A 23,288-nucleotide genomic window follows, 5' to 3' on the forward strand; every position below is an offset into this window, starting at 1 on the left:
TTGGAGGCTGGTTATAGGCAGACATCAGAAGATACAATCAAACTTTTAAATGAAAACTGCCAATATTGAATTTCCACTTGAGTTGATCCTGTATTGTCTATGTGGTCTCAATGCCTCCATTGCTGCTACTTTGATCCAGGGCTTCCTCACCCCATTCTTGGATTATAACCACGACCTTACTTGTGGCTGTCCAAACTCTAGAATTTGACCCCTCCAATCCATTCTGCATATCATTCCTGTTTATGAACATAATTTTGCCTCAGTTTACTGAAGAAAAGGCCAGATTTTTCTGCCTTACCATCAAGGTCATTAGGCTTCTTTTCAAAAGTTATTTACTGCTCTTTTGCCACCTGCTCCTTTAATTCAAGTCATACCAGCATCTTGACTGCCCCTTACAGATAACCTGCTCATTCGACTTCTCAGATTTTTTAAAAATGAGGTTTGACTTGGAATGCTCAGTCTTTCCACCATACCCTACTTAGGTAAGTTCTATACATTTCTGGGGAGGAACTGGTCAAATTCTACTGCCTTATCAAATTACCTTAATAAATATAGGTACAGTCCTTCTCTCAAAAACTTTAGTTGTTTTTATGTAAGATTTATCCTTTCATCAATGATTTATTTTTTACCAAGTATGAACTCTACATTATGCAACCCATAAAAGATACAAAATCTCTGGGCCAACCCAGAATTACAGTAATTTAAAGTAATTTTATTTATTTGTTTTTCTCTTGTCTTTCCTAAACAGAATTAAAGACATCAAAGTTAGGGATAAGGCTTTATACAGAATTGGAACTAGGTAGTGACTACTATGTTCTCCTTCACCTATTTTGTATTTAATTTTATTATATGGGATCCTTGATAGATTAGAATGCCAGAGAAGTATATTTTTGATAAAAGCATTTGAACACCATTTTACAAACCAAAATGTATCAGTATATCGTATATTGTATAAAATTCAAATGTATTCCAATTTTATACCACTGAAAATAATTTCTGAGAAATTCATATTTATTATTCCAGAGTTAGGATGTACATCTCTGTTTCAGTATCTGTCTCCATTCTTACCCATCTGTTAATGGGAATATATGTATATTCATATTTATGTAGGTTAGTTTGTGATCTGTTATATGTAGTCTTTTGAAATCTTAAAATGATTTTGTTGTTGTTATTGTTGCATAGTCTCAACCTTAGTCATAATTAATTTTTATTTTTCAAAAACTTGCTTCATTTATTCCAGTATGTTACATTGTAAGTGCTTGTGTCAATATTCCAAGATGTTTACTGTACAATGGCTTCTTGTATTAAGCACAGCAGTATTTTGTCCACTTACAATTCAATTACTATACTGGTAAATACTACTCAAACAAATTTTTCATCATCACATCTTTTATCTAATATCAGTGACCACATATTTGTACTAAGTAGAGAAGAAAGCATCTCTCAATGAAACTTTTGGGAAAAAGCTAGATAATCCCTTTATAATACAATGATATGAGATTTTAAAAAAAATAAAGAACATAGCAAGGTGAAAGTGTGAGTAGAGGCCTAAAAAGAAGAAAATAAGATAAAACACATGGAATTACTAATATAATGTGTTAGCAGACTCTAAAAGAGTGAGCATATTCTTAATTAGGTTATACAAACAAACAATGCATTAATGATTTATTAAATTCCCTCTTTTATGGGAATTTGTATTTTCTTTTGAAAGTATTTCCTCCTATTTAAAACTATTCTTGTTTGAGTCAGAGCGAAACTCAATACTACCCACATCAAGCCAGTAGAATTCCAGCAAATAAATGAAAACAATGGGTAAGATCACAGTTGCTGCCAAGGAAATGCAAGGTCACTGCCCCGATCAGCAGCAAGGCTCCCATAGGAAACTTGCTCTCACAATGTCTCAAGCAAGAGAGCTAAATAGAACAACTAAATGGGAGATATTACTAAAACTCCCAGGAAAAGTGATGAAAGTGATATAAACCTTATTTCAAGTTCATGTGGAGGATGATTAGGCAGTGACATATATTATCTGACTTAAGTTTAGTCCCTTCCCCAAATCCATCAAAGGTTTAAAATACTACCTAGGACCCTCTTTTTATTTAATTTTCCTCACTTAAAACAAAAATAACCAACAGTGCATTGTCTACCTCAATTTTCCTAAGACGGTAGGTCTTATGTTAGGTGTTCTTACAACACAAAATAATAAAAATAATAGTAATTATGCAATAATAATAAAAGGAGCAGAAAGAAATCTTTGCAGGTGATGAATATGTTTATGACCTTGATCATTTTCATCAAGGTCATATTCCCAAATTCCTTGAGTTGTATGCCTTTAATATGTACAACTTTTCATATATCAAGCATACCCCAATAATGTGATTTTAAAAATACTCCTGAAAAGTAAAAGGAGAGGTGAAGACATCCTGTCCATGATGAGATAATCATACGCTGGGATGTAAGAAGTGACCCTGGTGGTCACTTTAATATTTTTGAATTTGTTAGAAGTTTACAGGTAGACATTGACAATTTTAGCCCTTAATTTGCCATCACTGACACCAACTAATTGATAGTGATGAGCTTTGTGGCTTGAAGATATAAAAACAGGAGTGACTGATATAAGTAAGGACACTTATAAATGGACAAAAGATGACACTAAATTTAAAAATTCTCAGAGACTATTGGAATACATTTATGATATTAATAATGGTATATTTTCTCATTTATAAAGAAAATATAACAACAGCAATTATTTAGTGTTAACCAGGAACAATAATATTGAAATAATATTCTCAATGTTGTATCCTAAATGGAATCAGTATAAATGTATATTATCTTAATTGAATAAAACATATCTTTTGAGGATATTCTTTTACATGTTCTGGTTATTTTTTGTCATGACCTTAGAAGGTTCCATTTTCTCATTGGCTTCAGTTGAATTCCTGTTAGTTACTAAAAGACTCAGGTTTTAAAACTAAAAGATTTTCTTAAATTTTAATACTGTAACAAACATTTACTGGGAGCTGATTATGTTCTAGGCATTGTCTTAGCCTAATGTAAGCGATTAAGGTTAACGTTGCATCTTTCTTAGATGGGTTGATAGGTGCAGCAAACCACCATGGCACATGTAAACCTGTGTAACAAACCTGCATGCTCTGCACATGTAACCCAGAACTTAAAGTAAAATAAAAAAAATTAAATAAAAATCATATTTACTTAAAAAAAGAAAGTTTGTCTAGTCATTCACCTATTGTTATTACATAGATTATAAATTCATACATATAAATATATATGTGTTGGTATATAGCCTTACATAATATACCTACATATAAATATATACATACAAAATGTATACATATAAATATATATGTGTTGGTATATAGCCTTTCATAATATAACACACATTTCCTGAGAAAACCTTCAATATTTAACAATTTTTCATGAAATCTTGGACCTGACATAATATAAATGCAAAGTACTTTTTTAAGGAATGAAATTAAGTTGAGGAAAAGAGCAGAAGTAAATAGAAACAAATTTTGATAATAACAGGTGAACAGATCAGAATGGGAGATGTACATAAACTGAAGCATAAGTTTGAAGATAAAGATGTCATAGTTAATGAGGGATGTTCAATGGGAATTTAACAAAATAGAAGTCAAGTTATTTTTGAATTATAATTTTGGTCAGACCAGCTGTCTTGGGTCTCAGTGCTGGTTTAGTGAAGAATATGTTCTGACTGCCTAGTTGCTCTATCATTTTGAAATAAATATAAATACCTTTGGTAGGAGTAAGAAAATGTATGCGCTCCCCTTTAACTGATTGGAAAAAGATAGTTTATTTTTTATATAAAAAATAAAATACTGTATATAAAATAAGCTAAAATCACTATCATTAATAATGCACCTCCTCATGAATAATTTGCCTTACAATCCTAGCTAAAGATAACATAAAGCCATAGTGATTGGCAAAATATTATTTCCTTATTTATTTATGTTAAAGTTTTAATTATTGTGATTTTAAAATGTATGCAATATACTTTTATAATAGCAAATGTATATAACTTATAAATAAATAAACATACATTGGGGCGTGTTAAAAACCCTGTTACTAATAAATGTGGAAATGTTTAGACCTGCAGGATATAAAGTCTAAACATTTAAACTTGACCTCCAAGATCTTTATAGGTTTCCAAGACCTTTATAGGTTTTCTCCATTTCTCTTCTAGGCTAGTTCCTCTTCCCTTTGTAATCTAACCTCCAGAGGTGAAACAACCTACAGAAACAGTATTTTTCCACACGGAACAATTACTGCTGCAATTCTCAGTGCCTTTGCTCTTTTTGTTCCCATATTCTTTGGCCATCTCCATCCTAGACCTGGTGCATGCCTTCTAATCCTTAACGCTAGCAGCATTTTCTCTAGGAGGCCATTCTTGATCCTGCCAACCTCCTTCCAGGAAGAACTCATTATCTCTGTTGTTATCTGCACGCACTTTCTCTCTCTCTCTCTGTAGACAAAACATAGCACCTCTAATATTTTATTGTTTCTTTTGTGACATTATTTCTATAATAAAATGTAGATCCTTGAGATTATGATCTTTGTTTTGTCTTTTTGTCTGAATATTCTAGTGCCCAGAATGTCTTGATGCCTTTAGTTTTGTTGAATGAAAAGGTAAATAAGTAAATAAATGCATAGTGAATTAATTAGTTAATGAGTAAACTAACAATGACATAGAAGCAGTTCTCTGGTTCTGACACCGTACTTTAACATAGCTATTATTTCTCAATCAGGGCCAGCAGAAAACAATGTAAACTCACAGGGGTTAATTCAGAAAAGTTCGTAAAAGGATTATTAACAAAATTGTAGGCATCGAGGAGTGGTATAGCATCTTGCAGCTATTAACTATAGGAAGATTATTACCCTATGGCGATAAAGGAATCAAGGGAAAGGATTTTACTAGAATCTGAGGTAGACCTAGAGCTGGGGAGAGGACTGCTGGATACAGGCAGGAGCCTTTGCTAGAGAAATTCAGCCAGGAACAGACAGGAATAGTCTCTCTTCCCACCATCTGATATACTGCTGCTTTCTCCCATTGGTAGAATCCAATGAGAAAGAAGGCTCAGAAGCCTATGAATACACTGCTCAGAGGTCAGCATCCAGACACACGAGCAGGATGGGGAAGAGGTGATAGTGGACCTCTAAGGTCAAACATAATATACTGCCTGGTCAGCTCGACATTTTGAGAAAACTAAAATGTCCTTTTTAGCCATCTACCATCTACCAAAGAATATGGGCATACTGACTCTGTTTAGTCAGGTGTGGCCAACAGGCAGCCGAGGCAAGCTTGCGAGACGTGATGATGAGTATCTGGCGGGCAACTCGACGCTTTGGATATAACAGAAAGTTTTAAGATCTAAAAGCCTGCTATTTAGAAGTAGTAATTTTATAAATGGATTCTGAACAACCTAAAAGGAGTGTTACTTTAAATAGTGGGCAATTTTCTCCTTTCTCTTTGGTAAGGTTAGGATTAGATTTGCAATTTTACTGATTCACAAAGTCGTAGCGTGGGGATGGGCCCTCAGGAACCATATAGCTCATCAACTGAGTGATAACCTTGCAGTTACTCCCAAGACTGCGGAGAGCTGCCTTAGTCTATAGGCACTGCATAGAAATTCACCCTGATGTTTCAGTATGAACTGATCTGTAGGCCATGTTGAAAATTAATTAACTCTCTGCCAAGAAAGATATATAGGATTTTATGTCTGCAATTTTAGGTATGGTGTTTGTTTGGGGTTCATTAGAATCACAAAAGTTGAAAGGCTTTTAGAGATTTATTTTTAGGCTCTCTCCCTCTCTACCTCATCATTGCCTATCCCAGAACACGTATGGTTTACAGATGAGAAAGCTGGGTCCCAGAAAGTGTAAATGACTTGTTCAATACTCTGTAGCCATGAATGCATAGGTTTACTATTCTTATTTATTATTTATTTATCCCAATTATCCATTACTGAAATTCCATTCTTGTTGATTCAGCCAGCTTCACAACTGTTATAAAGCAAATGCTTTATATTCAAGTTTGATATCACCATTCTGGAAAGCAATCCTAAAACAGAAGTTTGGAGTAATTAACAACTAGTATTCTAAGGTAAAATAAGAACCAGGCAAAAAGAGATAAGCTGTGTTGAGAAAAAATACAATTTTCTGCTCAACAGTTTTAAATTTGAAGATGAGAGGGGATGCCAGAAAGTCTGGGCCTGGAAAACAAAAATCAGAAATCCACTTTAAGAAGTATTATTCATTACTCTCTGAAATGCTAAGGCTGAATTTATATAAAGACTTAAAATGAAAAATGAATTTGGTAACAGAAATGAGATAAAAATACTCCAAGATGTTAATATTTCTAGAGGTTATTATAATATTCACCCCTTCATGTTTTACCCAGTTATGTTTATCCCATGTATTTGTGCCTGAAGTATCTGCTTTATGGAGTTATCTAGAAGCTGGATAGTTCTACTTTTCTTGGCTTAGCCAACAGAAATCTGTTTAAAATCCTAAATCTGTCTTATTCCCTCAGGAATTCACTGGGCTGAATTTCCCACACTTTTTGGAAATGCTTCTCCTGGAATTATAATTACCATTAATTGCCCTTGTCAGACAATTCGACAAAACGAGATAGGTTCAAATGGAAGATATTTTCAAAAGTAGGCACTACATCCATTAAATGTTTCTAGTATTACTTAGAGCAGATTTCATCCTTGTTCCTTGCTCTTCAATACGCAGATTTGGTTCTTCATTTGAGGAGAAGGTGAGCTGCATCAGGTAGAGCATTCCAGAGGTGAGGATGCAATGGCAATCACAGGCTATGCTTGTTGCAGTCTGGAGATGGCTGCCTCCTCTCCCTACTCCTCCTCCATTCTACCTTTGACAGCTTACCTCAGCCAGAAGACCAGAAAATAACATTTCTGCTTAATTTCCCCAACAGCTACACTTCTGTGATTCTGGGGTGGGGAACTGGCTCTTAAGGGACCTTCCCCAGATTCCCTGTGTCTTGCCCTTCCCCCCACCAGATTGGGATAATCCAATAAGAAGAGCCTTGGATAAACCTTTATGGATTGTGCCACTGGGTGCTTTAGAGGAGTCTCTTTCATGCTTCAGGTTCTAGCTTCCTCCGTCTCTGAGGCACAGATTTATCATATAGACACTTCGTTTTTTCAGTTTTCCATTTTCCTTTTTTTGTTTTTAAACTGTAGATTATTTCCTTGATTGGGGTTACTGGGTGATTTCAAGGCAGGGGAGTGGAGTAAAATTGCCTTTACTTCCTCATGTTTAATTCCAAATCACATACCTTATGTGGTAATAACTGCATGATTTTGTCTATGTCAAACGAAAAAAATCATAACAAATTTAAATATGTTAATAGGTTTTATCTGCAATTCTGGAATTTGGCAACACTTCATTCCACAAGTTGGAATAAATATTCCCATGAGCTGAGCAGAGGAGGTTGATTTTATAGATAGTAAAGGGCTGAGGAAAGCAAAACAGAAAACAAAACGTGGATTGGTCATTTCAAAGTTACTTTTCTGTAAAGGTTACAGCAGAAAAAAAAACAAACACAAAAACAAACAAAAAATCCTTATCGTGTCTGCTAGGATTGGCCTGTTTGGGGATTTGGCTATTACCTCTCTCTCCCCTGATTTCTCAGAAGGCAGATAAAGAACTTATTTTCAGTTTGGTGACTGGAACTTTTAGATAAGCAACACCATTTTGGTTTGGTCTGTTGGGCCTGGTGCAGGAGGAGGAGGCTCAATCCTGACCAATGGCCTCCTGTAAATTTTATTTAACACTCATAAGAGTTAGTACTGCAGGCTGAGACTTCTATCCTTAAAAAGGCCTGCTTGGAGGGTTTGCCCTTGGCTGGGATCTGGGAACTTAATTGGTAAACAGTTCCTTACATTGATATAAAATTTCTGTAAATGATGAGTGGCTGTGCCTAATCTGTTTGTATAAATATAATTTATTATATTACTTGTTATCGTTATTACCATAGAGTATAATGCACTTAATTATCTTGTGAAGTTAGCCTTTCCTCTCTCTTTATTTTTCAGTATTTTCCTGTCTAATACATCTATTTTTCCCTTATAAATTTCACAGTAACAATGTACAGTTGGTATATTTACTAAATATTCTAGACAAGCACAACTACATCCTTTTCTATTTTTCCAAGTCTAGTGTTAAGTGCAGAACTTTTATAGTTAAGCATATTTACATATTTGTTTTAAGTTTTCCTTTTGCAAATGAGATATTTTAATCTTTTTCCCCATTATAATATTTAATTTTTTAAGCATCTAGGGAATATATTGATTTTTGGATATTATATTTGTGTACATCAACCTTATTGATTTTTTTATTGTTTATATTTTCAATTGATTAGCTGGAGTATTCCAGAATTATCGTAACATCTGAGGGAAAAGGTCTTATTTTTACCACTTGCTTTCTAATTTTCATTTCCTTCTCTTTTCAGGTACATTGACTGGTACTTAGAATGAAAAGGTCTTATCATTACAGATAATCTGCTGTCCTGTCTTATTTTTTACTTTAAAGAGAATGCTTCTAATGTTTCACAGTTGAGCACCGTCCCAGCTTTCAGTCTGATGTCTCTTCACCTATCTCTCTCCATAAAAGTTGATCTATATTAGTTCTCCCATTAGGTCATTATTTCAACTTCTTCTTGCAGAATATTAGTCTTGTACAATTTCGATGTGTGAATCAAGGTCTTCTTTTAATTTCAGGAAAGTCTTATCCTTGTATTTTGTTGTGTTTTCTGTTTTAATTTTTCTGGTTCTATCTTCAGGAACATCAGCGTTTCATATAGTAATGTCCTTTGTTTGCATATCCATTATCTCTTTTAAAAATTAGTTTATTTGATGTTCTCAAACTGTTCTCTATGTCATTGACTCTTTTCACCACCAAATATTTTTCCATTTTTTATTGCTTCTAATGTGAATTGCATTTCTGTTCTTATTTTATAAATCTCCTCCATTTCTTTTTTGAGCTCTAACAGATCACTTTTAAACTCATTCTGTTTTTAAATTCTTTCTGTTTTGGATTCAGAAAACCATATTTCCTTTAACATCTTTGGTTTCTTGGAGAAACACCTGGTATACTTTCATACCATCTCTTGGTCCTGCTAAGATTTCACCCAGCCTGGCTGGAAGTCACTGGTTTACAGGGAAGCTTCCTGTGTCCTAGTGTATGTGTAGTGATTTAGAATTCTCTTCCACTAGTTGTCAAAACTTTAATCCCTCAGTCTGTCAAACTGATAGTCTTTTGTTGGCAATAATAGCATAGTGGGCTTCCTGCCTATTATGCTATTCTGATTTCAAGCAGAACTCAAGTATGCTTCAGCAGCCCTTTTCATTGACACAGACCATGTCATGCTAAGGAAGTGTCATTGGCTTGTCCCCTCAGAAAGTTCAGGCTACTCTTAGAGATTCTGAGTGTTCATGAAAGCTGTAACACATAATGCCCTTCTAAGTGTCCTCCCTAAGTTGTGTCTAATTTTACCACATTAGCCAAATTTCTGTATCAACTGTGGTTTGGGACTGTAACCGTTTCCTGCTGTCAGAATAGAGTTTCATTTGTGTTTTTCATTCTTATTGATTTTGGTCTATTGGAAAGTGGAAAGCAGGGCAGATCCATCATTGTTAACTTAAACATTTGAGCAGTAATTCTAAAATTATTTTTGTCTATGATCTGCCTCCCCAGATTCTTGGTTTTATTTAGTTAAACTTATGCAGTTACTATAATGTAATTTTTAGCCATATTAAATTATTTTTATTCTCCTACATGGTAAAATTGTTTCTGGATTTAATAGAAGCTAAAACATTTTAAATTTGATCACTAAGTTCTTGATTTGTGGCCCTGTGCTTTGGTGATGTCATTGATTCACTCTTCACTTTATTGGCTTCACTGATATCATGGTATAATATCTGAGCAAAACGTAGGTCAAAATATCTGATTTTTATCTCTTCTTCTCTAGGACTTTCTTGATCACACATGATAATTCATATATAATAGAAATATTCACAGCCAATATATTTAACATAAAGTTTAACCTATACTGTAATAAGTCAGAAAATATATGCAACTATCAATTTATTGGAAGTTATATATGCTATTTCTAATGGGATACAAGTTCCTGACAAATAAACTCTGCAGTTTTAAATATGTTTGTTTAATTCAAACAACTGGATGAGAATATTAGGCTCTATGCAATGGTAGCTACTAACCTAATTACACTTTTAATTGAGTAGTCAACGTTAAATTAAATGTCTACAGCATGCTAACCCAGTGATAGCAGGAAACAACTCAACTTGTCTTGGAGACTCATTCAATTATTTGATGTCAGCCAAGTAACTAATATAACTGTAATATACTTCAGGAAAAGAGATAAGAAAATCACCAGAATAAGGATAGTCAGAAAAGAACAAAATAGGAATTGAGTTGAAAATATACATGATACAGAATCAGAGGTACACACACACACACACACATACACACACACACATTTAAGGAGTTGTAGGAAACCTGGAGAATGAAGGCAGAACAACAGCCTTCATTCAAGGCCACAGGACCAGAACTAGAATGGAAAAAGGGCAAATTACCGTACAGCTGAAATAAAATGCAATCGTGTCAATACAAAGAGGGGAGAGAGTAGCAAAAATTCCAAAAAACAGTAACCAGAACTCTATGATGAGAGAAAGTTATTGTCTTAGACAGACCAATCAATTTTTGTTTATCTAATTAAACTATATCCTTTTCCAAAAACACTTTAAACCAGATTTCAAAATCTATGCATAGCAAAATCAGTAGACAAGAATAGATTGAAAAAAAAATCAGGTGAGAAAAAAAATAAAGCTAAATAAAGCTAAAGATATGTTAATAAACAACATGCATGCCACACAGTCCTATTTAGGTTCTTAACAGAAGAAGTTAACATGCAAATGTGGTCTGTTACAAGATTTCCAGAGGCCATAAGAAAAACAATCCAGCTGTTCACCAGAAGCGCAGAGGTCGAAACTTCAGGGAAATTTGTCTTATATGTTTTTTAATCAAGAGAATAGACTGTGTGATAGAGTTGATGACACTTTCAATATCATTTCTACAGTAAATCTGATATACAATTCTTACTGATGTTACTATATTTTTTTCAGTTCAATCCAAATCATAACTGCATAAATATTTCTGAAAAAGCAATTATGCAAATATCCAGATAAGCCACTCCCAGATGGTCTGGTTTATCCAAGAGCAAAATTCAAAATACCCAGAGAACATCATGTCTTTCAGATAATCCTCAATGAAAATTATTTTCACAATAAGTAAATCATACATGAGATAGTTTTTCATAATATAGTCATTATGTACCCAAAGATAATTTGTTAAATAATTTCTGTCTAGAAAATGAAGCTAATTAGTTACATGTTTCCTGAATGAGGCTACTCATGATTCAATACCCTCTACTTACCTTATTTTTGGCTGGTTGCTGTTTCCTTCTCTGGAGGGAGTTATTCCATTATATACAATGTGCAAGAAAATTATTCTTAGGTATAGCTCCCTGGGTTGTTGTTTAGAGCAGATTTTGTTTATAGGGTAATTCTGAAAATGCTGTCTTGGAGAGATTACAACTATGCCTTTTTCTATTAGCTCACTAAAATAAGTATCTGAATTTAAAATCCCAATATTTCAGCCCCTAAGCAATTTTTTTTTCTATTATAGGGAAACGACACTGTCTACACATAGAGAAGAAGCAGTATCTTTTCATGAAGAATTGCTCATGCTCCAGACTTTGAAAGGAAAATCAAAATAACTCAAGTAATACAGGGCCTAAATGTGGACACAATAGAAACAACACCGAGAAACTCACACAAGCTCAGAAGCCTTAAATTTGGGGGTAGCTCATCCTAGGTTGTGCCCCTACGTAATCCAGAAGTTATTAGATAGTACCGGATATCTTAGGTACTCATGATTCTTGACAGACAAGCCTGTGTAGTTAACAGTAATTAAAATGTTACCTTAAATCAGCAGCTTTCCCCGTCTTGTTAATGCACATAACCTCTCTGGTCTGATATCCAATCTGGATGTCCCAATATTTGTTCTCTTGTCTGTTCTGCCTGTTTCTGTTTCTCTTTTTCTTAATAAGCTCGCGGGCTTCTGGATCCTTTACTCCTTTGCTGCGGTCCTTTTCCCGTTCTTTATTCTTCCCGCGTCTCCTTGCTTGTCTTACTTGTCGGGAGTGGGGCATTGAGCAGGTGCTCCAGGGCCCCACATGCAGGCTGTACCTGAGCTCCTCGGCCTCGCATGGACTGGATTGGCACACCTGGAACTCCGTCAGGTTTGGACAGCCAGAGCCTCCGAACTGCGGGGGCGCCACCACATGACGCGTCCGGTGCTGGAGCCCGCTGCCGCAGGTCTTGGAGCATTCGGACCAGGCAGAAAATTCAGACACGATGCAATCTTGCTGGCAAGGAATGAGGCAAGCCTGCTCCAGGAGAGGCTTGGGCTCAAAGTACTCACAGATGATATCCTCCGCAGGAATGTCTTTGTCTTTCTGGATGCACGCTATCTCCCTCACCTGAATACCTTCTTCCCCCTTAATGCACTCAAGAGGTTTCTCTAGGCTTTTTGAAATCACGGGCTGACACTGATTCCAAGGTCCCAGTCTCCAGTCGTACAACTCTTTGTGCCAATCGCAAACTTTGAAACAATTCTGCTGGTTATTGGGTCTCTCGGCCTGCTTACAGTTAGTATGCAGTGTAGTCCATCCCTCCACATGAGCACACCACACAGCCCTCGTTTGGATGCCTCCGGGACCACATTCATCTCCCATACATCGGCCCCATGGACCTACAAAAATTATAACACAAAAATTAGCAGTGCTACTAGAAGAAAACTACAAGTTACTGCACATTCCAGAAAGACCTTTCAAGACCTAGTACATTAACTTCCCTGCGGTGTTACAAAGTAGGTCTCTGGACACGACTGTTGGAAAGTAATGATCCTCGCTAAGTATTTTTGCAAAAGGGGAACTGTGTCACAGAGTCTATATAAGGTAACTTCTGGGACAATTTCACTTTGGGTCCTTTAGGGATTACGAAAAGTTTGGTTTTGTTCATTTCCTTTGTTTTAGGTAGTTAGAAATCCTTGCTGATAAAGGACATCAGAAATTAGTCACAGTGAAAACTCATTACTCCGGCCTCACAATCATCAAATCCATTTCAGTAACTGGCAAAGAAAATGGCCCCGTGTGAAGAACTTCTCCTGCAGGCATTTCTCTTCCTGGACAGTTAACTATTTTGTGGAACTTGCTCTCTTCTTCAACATATTTTATTTTCATAGACTATGACTGCAAGGGTCTAATAGTTGTATATCATGTGTGCCACTAGAGCTTAAAGTGTTCACTCTCTGGTTATCAAAACTAAGAAGCAAAAATCTTCATTTACACACATTCTGCCTTTAAATTTACCAAATTTCCCCCCCATTTCCCAAGTGAAGTATAGAGCTGGGTAAGGGAATTTAAATGTAACTAAAAGACTTTTGCAATTTTCTAATCATTGAGAGGTTATTTGGGGTCTTATTTATTTATTCATTTCTTAAACATGAACTATTTGGTATTACAGAGCTGTTTGATGTGATACTTAAATCAGTGGCTTTAATATGAAATATGGGTTTTTTTCTGTGAAATCCTTCTTAGAATAAACTTTATATTCACATATATTATTTTTTTCTAAGGTAGATGATATGATTTTCAGTACTTTAATAGACAGATCCCAATTTACGAAATTGAGAATTGTATTATTTTGGAATCATAAAGAAACTTAAAGTTCATGTAAGTACATGATTTTCAAAAAGTATTCCATGAATTTGAGAAATTGTTTGATGTGCCTTAAAGCCATTTTCCATCTGTTGTGTGGGAAGGTGAGGGCCAACATGTGGGGTGGGCTCTAGTGCCCCTCACACCCTTACACTACTGTCGTCCTCCCTGATTGATGCTTTTATAAGAAAAACTCTATTTGTATTATTAGTTTTATTCACATGGGGATTATGCATAAGATTATGTCTGCAAGAGGTTTCTACTGTGGAAATTTGAAACCTGCTAAAGTAGGTCAATGGATTCGCTCTACGGATGAGAAAAACAGGAAACAAGAAGGGAAAGTGATTTGCTGAGTTCAAATATTTAATGAATAACAAAACCATTCTGGATTTTAGATTCCAGTTCCAACTTTTAGTTGTATGATTTCTCTTGGACATTAGAGCTTTAGCCTCAGTTAGTTTCTTCTGTACATAACAATTGCTAGTATATGAATAAAGAAATATAAAGAATGTGCCTATCATATTTAATCTAAACATTTAATTTTGCTTAATGAGAAAGATGTTTAAAGTTTGTTGAGAATTTCCTTACAAATGGCATTATGGAGTTGTAAATAGAATAGAGACTTGCTGTAAATATTGTGCTAACTAATCATTATTGCATGAAAGTAAATATTGCATAGTTGGCATACCCGTATCATTCCTTTATGAAGTTTGCATGTACAAAATTATAAGGGATGTAAAATGCTCATGCTTATTAGTGATGTAACATTCTTATAAGGGATATAAAATACTCAAGGAGACTGGGAAACAGTCTCCTTGAAGTATGAATGTTGAAACTTTATGGGAGAAAGCCAGTGGGTTTGTTGCATCTGTCAAAATGCAATCCACCTAATAATATTTTAATCTTATTTTTAACTTGCCAAAGAAAAAATATATATTCACAAATCTGGTGATACTTTCTTAAAGATTTTTCTAAATACTCACTTTGGGAACCACAGAACCTAGGAAACTTCTCAAAATGAGAACCCAGTAATATGTATAAAATTTTCTAATTAATTCCACACATCCTTGGCATTTATTCCCCATCCCCACTGTGCTTGAACAAAACAGTGGTCCTTATTTTCCATCTGAACACAACATATAAAGACATATTTATATCAGACTCTCAAATTAAGAGTAAACTATATGCCATTAAGTCTGAATTTGAAAATATAAGTGTCTTATACTAAATCAGACTCTAAATCCCAGATGTAATTTAGTTGAACTTCCTGATATATTATTTTTTTCCAGTTTTTAAAATTAATTATGAAATTAGACTGACTAATCAGATTGAGGCTACTAGTCTTTTATCCTCAGAGTGTAAACAAATGATTTTTTATAGCAAACTTATAAGGGTGTCACTTAAAAAACATAACTGTACATTTTTAGGTAGGCAGCACTATTATTAATAGTTGTGATTGGGCCGGGCGCTGTGGCTCATGCCTGTAATCCCAGCACTTTGGGAGGCCGAGGCGGGCGGATCACAAGGTCAGGAGATCGAGACCATCCTGACTAACACAGTGAAACCCTGTCTGTACTAAAAATACAAAAAATTAGCCAAGCGTGGTGGCGGGCGCTGTAGTCCTAGCTACTCGGGAGGCTGAGGCAGGAGAATGGTGTGAACCCAGGAGGTGGAGGTTGCAGTGAGCCGAGATGGCACCACTGCACTCCAGCCTGGGCAACAGATTGAGACTCCGTCTCAAAAAAAATAATAATAATAAATAAAATAAAATAGATGTGATTTACTAATTAACACAAATTAATGTTTTATTATAGAAATCTGAGTACACAAAATGTGAATTGACTTCAAGTCTATATGTTATTGCTAAGGAAAACACGCATACTGAAAATAACTTTTTTTCCCTAAAACAACTATGAAACAGAACTATGCTACACTAGTCAACTCTTAAGTCTGAAAATTACCTTAGACAAGATAAGGACTGGTGAAGATATCAAACTCTTACAAACCAAATTTTAGCAAAAAATCTTGGCTTACTTCTAAGTTCATTCTAAAATAAAAGTAGAAGATGGTTGCTTTGAAAATGATTCATCATTTACTGACATCAAATTATGGAGAGCTCCCTTTTTACACACTTCCAGAGTACCATATATGTTTCTCACGTAATGTTTAAATGTTAGTCACACTTTCGGTTAGTAGAATCAGTAATTTTTTCAAATATTTAATATCTGTTTATCACATTAGACTGACTCTATAGCCCCTTGAGGACAGGCCCTTGTCTGCCGCCTGCAACAGTTTTAGACAGTACACATAGAACAAGTTCAGTAATATTTATTGAATGAATGAATAAAATCAGAAACCAAATCAAGAAAATACTTCCAATCAATTTATGATTCAACAGATGCCATTTGCATAATTAATTGTGGATAAAGACAAAATGTGCTTTTCCTTTAAGCCATTGCAGTATATCATTGATTATCTAGAGATTTTTGATTTTTATCTAGTTATTGAAAACACAAGCAGATACTAGTGACATAACTTAAAAATACAAATCTATATTTAATTACAATCAGAACCGCAGTGTAACCTTGAGAACCTCTAATTTCTCCATGTTATCTGTTGTAGTAATATTACATATATTTTGGATAACTAAATATGCACGATGTTTTTCTGAAATTAGCATTGTCTTGGAGGCAGATTTCAGATGATCACGGGTGTCAACTATAGTATTTCTTACTAGAATATTCTCTTGTCTTCAGAGCTAGTTAAAAGCATATATTTCTGCAATGATTTTCAGCTACATATAAAAATATAATATTTTATTTCTACTCAAGATGTACAAATGCCTTAAGAAATAAAAGAAAACAGCCCATATAAAAGTTTAATAATACTGGCATCTTATTTATAACACCATGAATCAAATGTTCTTTTCCCACTTTATAAAAAATAAAAATGCACTCCCTAAAGGGGTTGAGGAGTATATCTTCATTCTTTAGTTTTGAGAAACTAAATTTTCTCAACCAAGAACATTTCTAATCACCTAGTTCTTTATTGATTTTTCACAATGTTGATCCCACTACAGAGGGTGGTTAGTCAGTGAAAATAGTTTTTTGATCACTTAATTTAAAATTACCATTTGACATATAGAAATATTGACAAGTGTTATTTCAAATTCAGAATTCATTATATAAGTAAGATAGTTCTTACTTTGATGTTCCTCATTGAATACCAGGAACATCACATACGTGTGTGTGTATACCTTTTACATATGCTTAATTAGCTAATTATATTTGTAAAAGCTTTGCAGTTCTGCTAATTTAATGGAATAACCTGTTACATTCCATGGTTTGAACATGCCTTTTAATTTCAATGGCTTACTTTTGGATAAATTGCTTCAATAATTTTGTTTAGAAAGGAGAGAAGTTAGTTTATAGATCTTAATATCCCAGGCATTATATTTTTGATGTCAGTGCCAGCGGGAATAAAGAGATTGAATTCAAGAATACTATTATATATAGATAAGGCACAAGAGTTTCTAAAGTTTGCTTAGATAACTAAGAAAAGCATATGTTATAAATATAAATATATTCCAATTCCCATTTCAATAATATTCCCACAGATTTTTATTAACCAGCTACTCACAGATAACATTGTGGGATTTATCTTATTCCAAGTATATTTACATTGAGAACCAGCAGATAACATATCCTGAGAAAACTTCATGGAGATATATAAAAAGATCTACTGAGGCTAAAGGAAAACAATAAAATGCATGAAGGCACCAGTGAAAGCAGAGGTGGAAGTATAGTCATGATTGAACCTAAAATAAAATAAAATAAAATATAATATAATAAAATAAATAAACCCATCGTCCACCTTGTAGGCTTTAACTGCCCTTATCTTTTCATTGCACCTTGGGTATCGCATGTGTGTCCAATTAACCAACCCTTTGAAAGATCAGATCTTCCCCACAGTACACACGATGAAGGGCTGTCTACTTCTTCCCTCCAAGCAGTCTTGACACAAGTACACATTGAAAAGAGACCAAATTGAATAGAAAAAGGACCACATTCAATAGAAAAGGGACCACATCTAAAAATCCTCTTGAAAACTGAGAATTGTTAACCCAATTAACTACCATGTTTCAAGGGGTGCAAATGTTTTAAAGTACAATTTGAAAACACAATATGCAAACTCTATCAAGGAAAATATGAAATCCTCTACCAATTACAATGTGACAGTGTGCAGCAAATGTTTCTGTGTAAATGTTAAAATTCAGCTCTGCATCCTACATTACTAAGAGTGGGAGGTAGGGGTAGCAGAAAATCTGGTGGAGTGGTGTTTGGTTTTTGAAAAGAACAGTAAGAATTATCATTGGTTCAAAAATTGCTTCTTTTATTGTTTTGTTCATTATTATTTAGAAGGAATTTGGAATCTGATTGAGCAAAATAAAGGACAGGCAGCTTTCCATTTAAGGCTATGGATAATATCCCCCTGTGAATGAAAATGTATTCCTGCATACAGATTTGTAGGATGGTGTTTACTCAGTATCATACAAAGCACTTCTACAATGTGGGTCAATAAACATGTGCAGAACACTTAGCTTGACAGATTTTATGTAAATCCAGAAAGAAACACTGGATGTCTTATTTCACTAAAAGGAAATTAAAGCAACTGTTTTATATGCCCAAAACTTGTGTGTAATTGATAGACTCACAATACAAATATTTTCACTTGGAATCAATGTAAAATTATGCAAAATTGCAATAAAAACTTTAAATGAATGCTACTTGGCTTAGTTTTCCTTAGGCTAGTGCTTTAAGTATAATTCTGCACTAACTTTAACAAAATGTTGATAAAATAATGAATTTATTTTTATTCCTGCTAAAGAGGATTTTATAATGTGCCTATCCTCTTGATATCGTTCAAAACTGTCTCTTTATTTCAGTCTACAAAAGACAGCCGTCTAAATTTAAAATTACTCTTTCCCCACCATATTCAACATTGACTTCTCTAAGACTACTTTTTATATGTCAAGGGCATGAGAACAATAAAAGGTTGAGTCTATAAAAGGCCACATTATTGACAGGTGGCCAGCAACTGTTCCAAAGAGCCTTATAAAAGATAAACACCATAAAAGGAGCATGAGAAATTATGAGAACTACTTTTTGTGCTTGTTTGCTATAAAACTCTCAAATGAGCCAGTTTCTTGTTTGACTAAATATGTTTGCATCCTTCACATGAGATAGTGTGTTTTCCCCTTCTGGATTTGGTTATGGAACAGCATGTCCTACTTTACTAAGATCAAGGAGTACATAAACAGCTTAGTAATATACTAAATTCTGTCTCTTGAATGCTACAGAACATCTTATTTTAAAATTTTCAATTAACAAAATTAAAACAAAATTTCTATTTGTTTTTACCCAACCAAATCTCTGTAAAAAGATTAGAAATTACTGTCAAATAATAGGAAAGAAAAATTCCTTATAAATTCCATAAACTAAAGATAACTAATCCTAGTCATCGTATTTTGCTGTCCTTCTACTAGGCAATTAAAATATAAATTTATTTAAAACGAAATTTTGGATTGTGCTACCAATTAATTGTTCTATAATTTGCTTTTTTACTTCATAATGTGCTATAATTCCATTTCAACAGATACACCACACGCACGCGCGCACACACACACACACACACAGATTGAACCTTCTATACTGTTATTTAATCTCCTTTGTTCTTCATATTTTCACATTTAGATCTATACTATGTTTGCGTAGTGCTTTGTTCTATCGATTCACCATGATTTTTCTAACTGATGTTCTATCGCTGGATGTTTAGGTCTTTCCTGATTATTTCCAATATTATAAAGAATGCTATAATGAACCTCCATTGCTATACATCAGTCAGATAATTTGGTGAAAGGCTTTTGCACACTTTCAAGCTTTTGATACATGTAGTATTGCAAAAGTGCCCACCAAAATGTACCAGTTTGGCCTTCCACCAGCAATTCCTGAGCACATTTCTCTCAGCCTCTAATATTTGCAGATTGCTGTTCCTCCAAGTCTGAGCTCCTATTGGAGAAATCCTGTGTGCTTATTTTCTTGGAGGGTTCATCCTTTGACTAAAAAAAAAAAAAAACCTTAATTCCTTTACCTTCATTCTTTTGTGTATTGTGGTTTCCAGAAATACATCAAAGCTTATGAAGAATTCACAATATCCTTCCCTGTTTTTCAGCATCGAAACATCTTTTTGCTTATTTTATACTCGTTTGGTCATTTCAAAGGATTTTATTGCCATAGGTAGAAGCAAACATGTGATCTTAAATGTCTGTCTTAAAATAGTCCCATAGACTGGTATCTGAATGCCTAGAATACTGTCCCATTCAAAATTATACTAATTGAATTGATTTAATTATAAATATATGCTCTGCCTGGTAGATCCCTTTGTATAGATTTTTGAATATACAAAAATAAATTTTGAATGTTTTTCATCTAAACTAGATTTAAATTTCTTTCAAAGGAAAAATAAGAGGAGAGTTGGTAGCTTCTTTGACTTGAGTTTTAATTTAATTTTAATTTAAAACATAACTCTCAAATGACAAATCAGTTTGGTGGATAAGGAGAGATCACTGTAGATGTCAAGCTGAGCTTTCACCTTCAATGAGTAATTAAACTTTAATAAGAAATTATATAAGAATGTCAAATTACATGTACAAAATTAGAACAGGCTGTTTAAATCTGATGAGAAAATGAATGAGGAATCAGTGACTAGTATAGCTGATTTTACAATGCTAAACACAATAATCTATTTTTAGGATCTATTATACTAAATATTCCTTTAGAATTACTTAACCTCTTTGCGTTCTGGTTTCCTCATTTTAAAAATACGATATCCTCTCATAACACTACCTGACCCATAAGCTAAGTACCAATAGTATGAGGAATGTTTGTGATAAAGTTGTGAATTGCCTTTCTTTTACACAAAAAGATTCACATTTTCATGTGACAGTATTTTAAAGTCTTCATGTATCAGTGACAACTTCCTTAGGTTACATTCCACTAAAGTGAAAGCCTGAGTCAAAGCATTTGACAATTTTAAGGTTTTAAAATACATGTTGCCCAACTGATTTTTCAAAGAAACATGTAGAAATCTACATTCTATCACTACACCTTGATCAGCATTGGTTATTATAATATTTTCTTTTGTTAATTTGATGAATATGCCCAAATCCACTGTTATTTTAGTTAAATCTTCATTTCATATGACTTTTAACATAATAATTTCCTCTCCTGTAAATTATTTATTTAATTGGTTTCTATATTTTCCAGCATTCTCATGGATGTTTTTTCTCAATATATTTATTTGAGATACTAACATTTTCTCTGACCATTAAAATGTATTTCCCATCAGTGTTTTGTGTTATTTTGTGTATATTTTCTGTTTTTGATATGCAGACTTTCACTAACACAATAGTATATTTCTTTCATTGAGTTTTAAGGCTGAAATATATTTTTAAATACAGAGATTAATAAGTACACATGTATTAAAAGTTTAATCTTCTTATAGATTTATTTTATTTAAATACGTTAAATGCATCAGAAGTTTATTACAAGTTTGTTATAAGGCAAACTTCTGACTATTTTTTCTACACAGTTAGACAATTTTACCAGGAATGCACATACTTATGATTTAAAGGTACCTTTCAAACAGCCTCAAAACATGTCAATAAGAGGTGTATTAAATACCACATCCCTAGATTACATTGCTATATTGTATTTTATTGCTATGTTTTATTTCATATTTATATAGTACAGTGTGTTTTCACCTATATGATCTCATTTGATCTTTACATCAAGCAGTAGATATAAAAAATAAACAAGATTAATTTTGTTACTCTGTCCAGTAGTTCAATCTCTGTAAATCTGAAGAAAATATAAAGCCATCAACCACTCAAATATTTCTGTGGTTTCTTTGGATGCAGTTAAACACCCCCAAAAAAGTAGTTATATAAACTGTATTTGAGCAATTCAGTTAGAGAGTTTATGGTGCTATAATGAAAAGTTCCCAATTTTTGAGTAAAGTCTCATGCAAATAAGGGGATGCAAAAACAATTTCTTAGAGAAAATTCTTCTTCAAGTTAACAGATTCCTAAATCAATGTTTCCCTTTCAAGCTCATAAACTCAGAAGAATTTGAGAGTGTTAGAATCTTGATTTCAAAATAACAAAATGTGGTACTAATAGCCTCAATATCTATTAAAATTTTAAAAAGATCTATTTGAACAGTTGCACTGCCAATCTACAAAACAACATAAACTTCCTCCTTACCCCACTTCCCAAATAATTACTACAACCAAAAAACAGAAAGCAAACTTGAGAGTTATATAGGATTTCAGTATAAATGTGATTGGCAGCAGAGTATTTATGAAATAAGAATAGAAATTGTTGATCATAACAAACATATAATCTCAATGGATTTGAAGACATGACAAGTCTTCAGAGGCTGCTTTAGAGAATGGATTGAAGGTAGCAACTAGCAAATCTAGTAAATGCATATGTTTGTGAGTGTTTAAAATAGGTTGTCTTAAAATTGGTGTCAAAGAATAGCACTAAGAACTGCATAACATTTCACTCAAAAATGTGAAATGGACAAAACTTTTTACCCATTTCAGGCTACCGATCTTCCATTACAATTGTCCAAAAGTGAGCTACCTTTGGAGAATACATATTCAACAGTCCGACTTGATGCTAAGGGAGTCAAATAAACAAGATATTGGAGGTAAAGGAGTCCTATCACAATTTTCACTCTATCTCAGGGAACTTTGATAAAAAATAGTAAGTGACATCTTAATAAATTTAAAAGCATGCTATGTTGTCCTGGATTACCCCAAAAGTAGAACTTGAGACAAAGGTTTATATGCAATAGTTTATTTTAGAAGTAATTCCATGGAGCAGGGCTAAGGCACAAAAGAATAAGAGAAGGAGAAATCAAGGGAAAGCCAGTGCAAGCATATGTAATAAAATTGTCCACTGCTATAGGTGCCTGGTTATGACTTTGTGGGACCTTCTGAGGAGATTTATGAAATGCGTCTCAGAAATGTCAGTCCAGAGAATAGAATGATTAAACATTTCTTCTTTGACTCCTGTTCCTCACTGCATAAAATTGCTTGAAGTAGCACATAGGCGGTTCCTGATATAATTTATCCCTTGCACCACTAAGATTTTCTTATTCTACCATTCTACCATTAAATCCAATGAATCACAGACTCTCTCCCTCAATATTATGGCTAGTTCAATGTCTGCAAGTATAGGTTTTTCCCTCTAGAACTACATCCTCCAATTCAGCAGAGTTTAAGATTGTAGGTATGGACAGCACAAATTCCTGAAGTGACTCAGGGGAACGATGGAGAGAGGGCCAATCCTACTTCG

The 23,288-nt window shown here is 33.9% G+C and overlaps 1 protein-coding gene across 6 annotated transcripts in view; it reads right to left on the reverse strand.

The window, feature by feature from the left end:
- The window catches only part of THSD7A (thrombospondin type 1 domain containing 7A), a 461,834-nt gene that overhangs the window by 253,700 nt on the left and 184,846 nt on the right, over positions 1 to 23,288 (reverse strand). For all 6 annotated transcript variants that reach the window (XM_006715662.2, XM_006715660.2, XM_006715659.2 and 3 more), the window contains one exon: positions 12,066 to 12,897. In XM_006715662.2, the coding sequence (XP_006715725.1) occupies positions 12,066 to 12,897 (832 nt within the window). The remainder of the gene's footprint in view (positions 1 to 12,065; positions 12,898 to 23,288) is intronic.

This window comes from Homo sapiens, chromosome 7 (assembly GCF_000001405.40).
Source record: "Homo sapiens chromosome 7, GRCh38.p14 Primary Assembly".
In the NCBI taxonomy this organism is placed as follows: domain Eukaryota; kingdom Metazoa; phylum Chordata; class Mammalia; order Primates; family Hominidae; genus Homo; species Homo sapiens.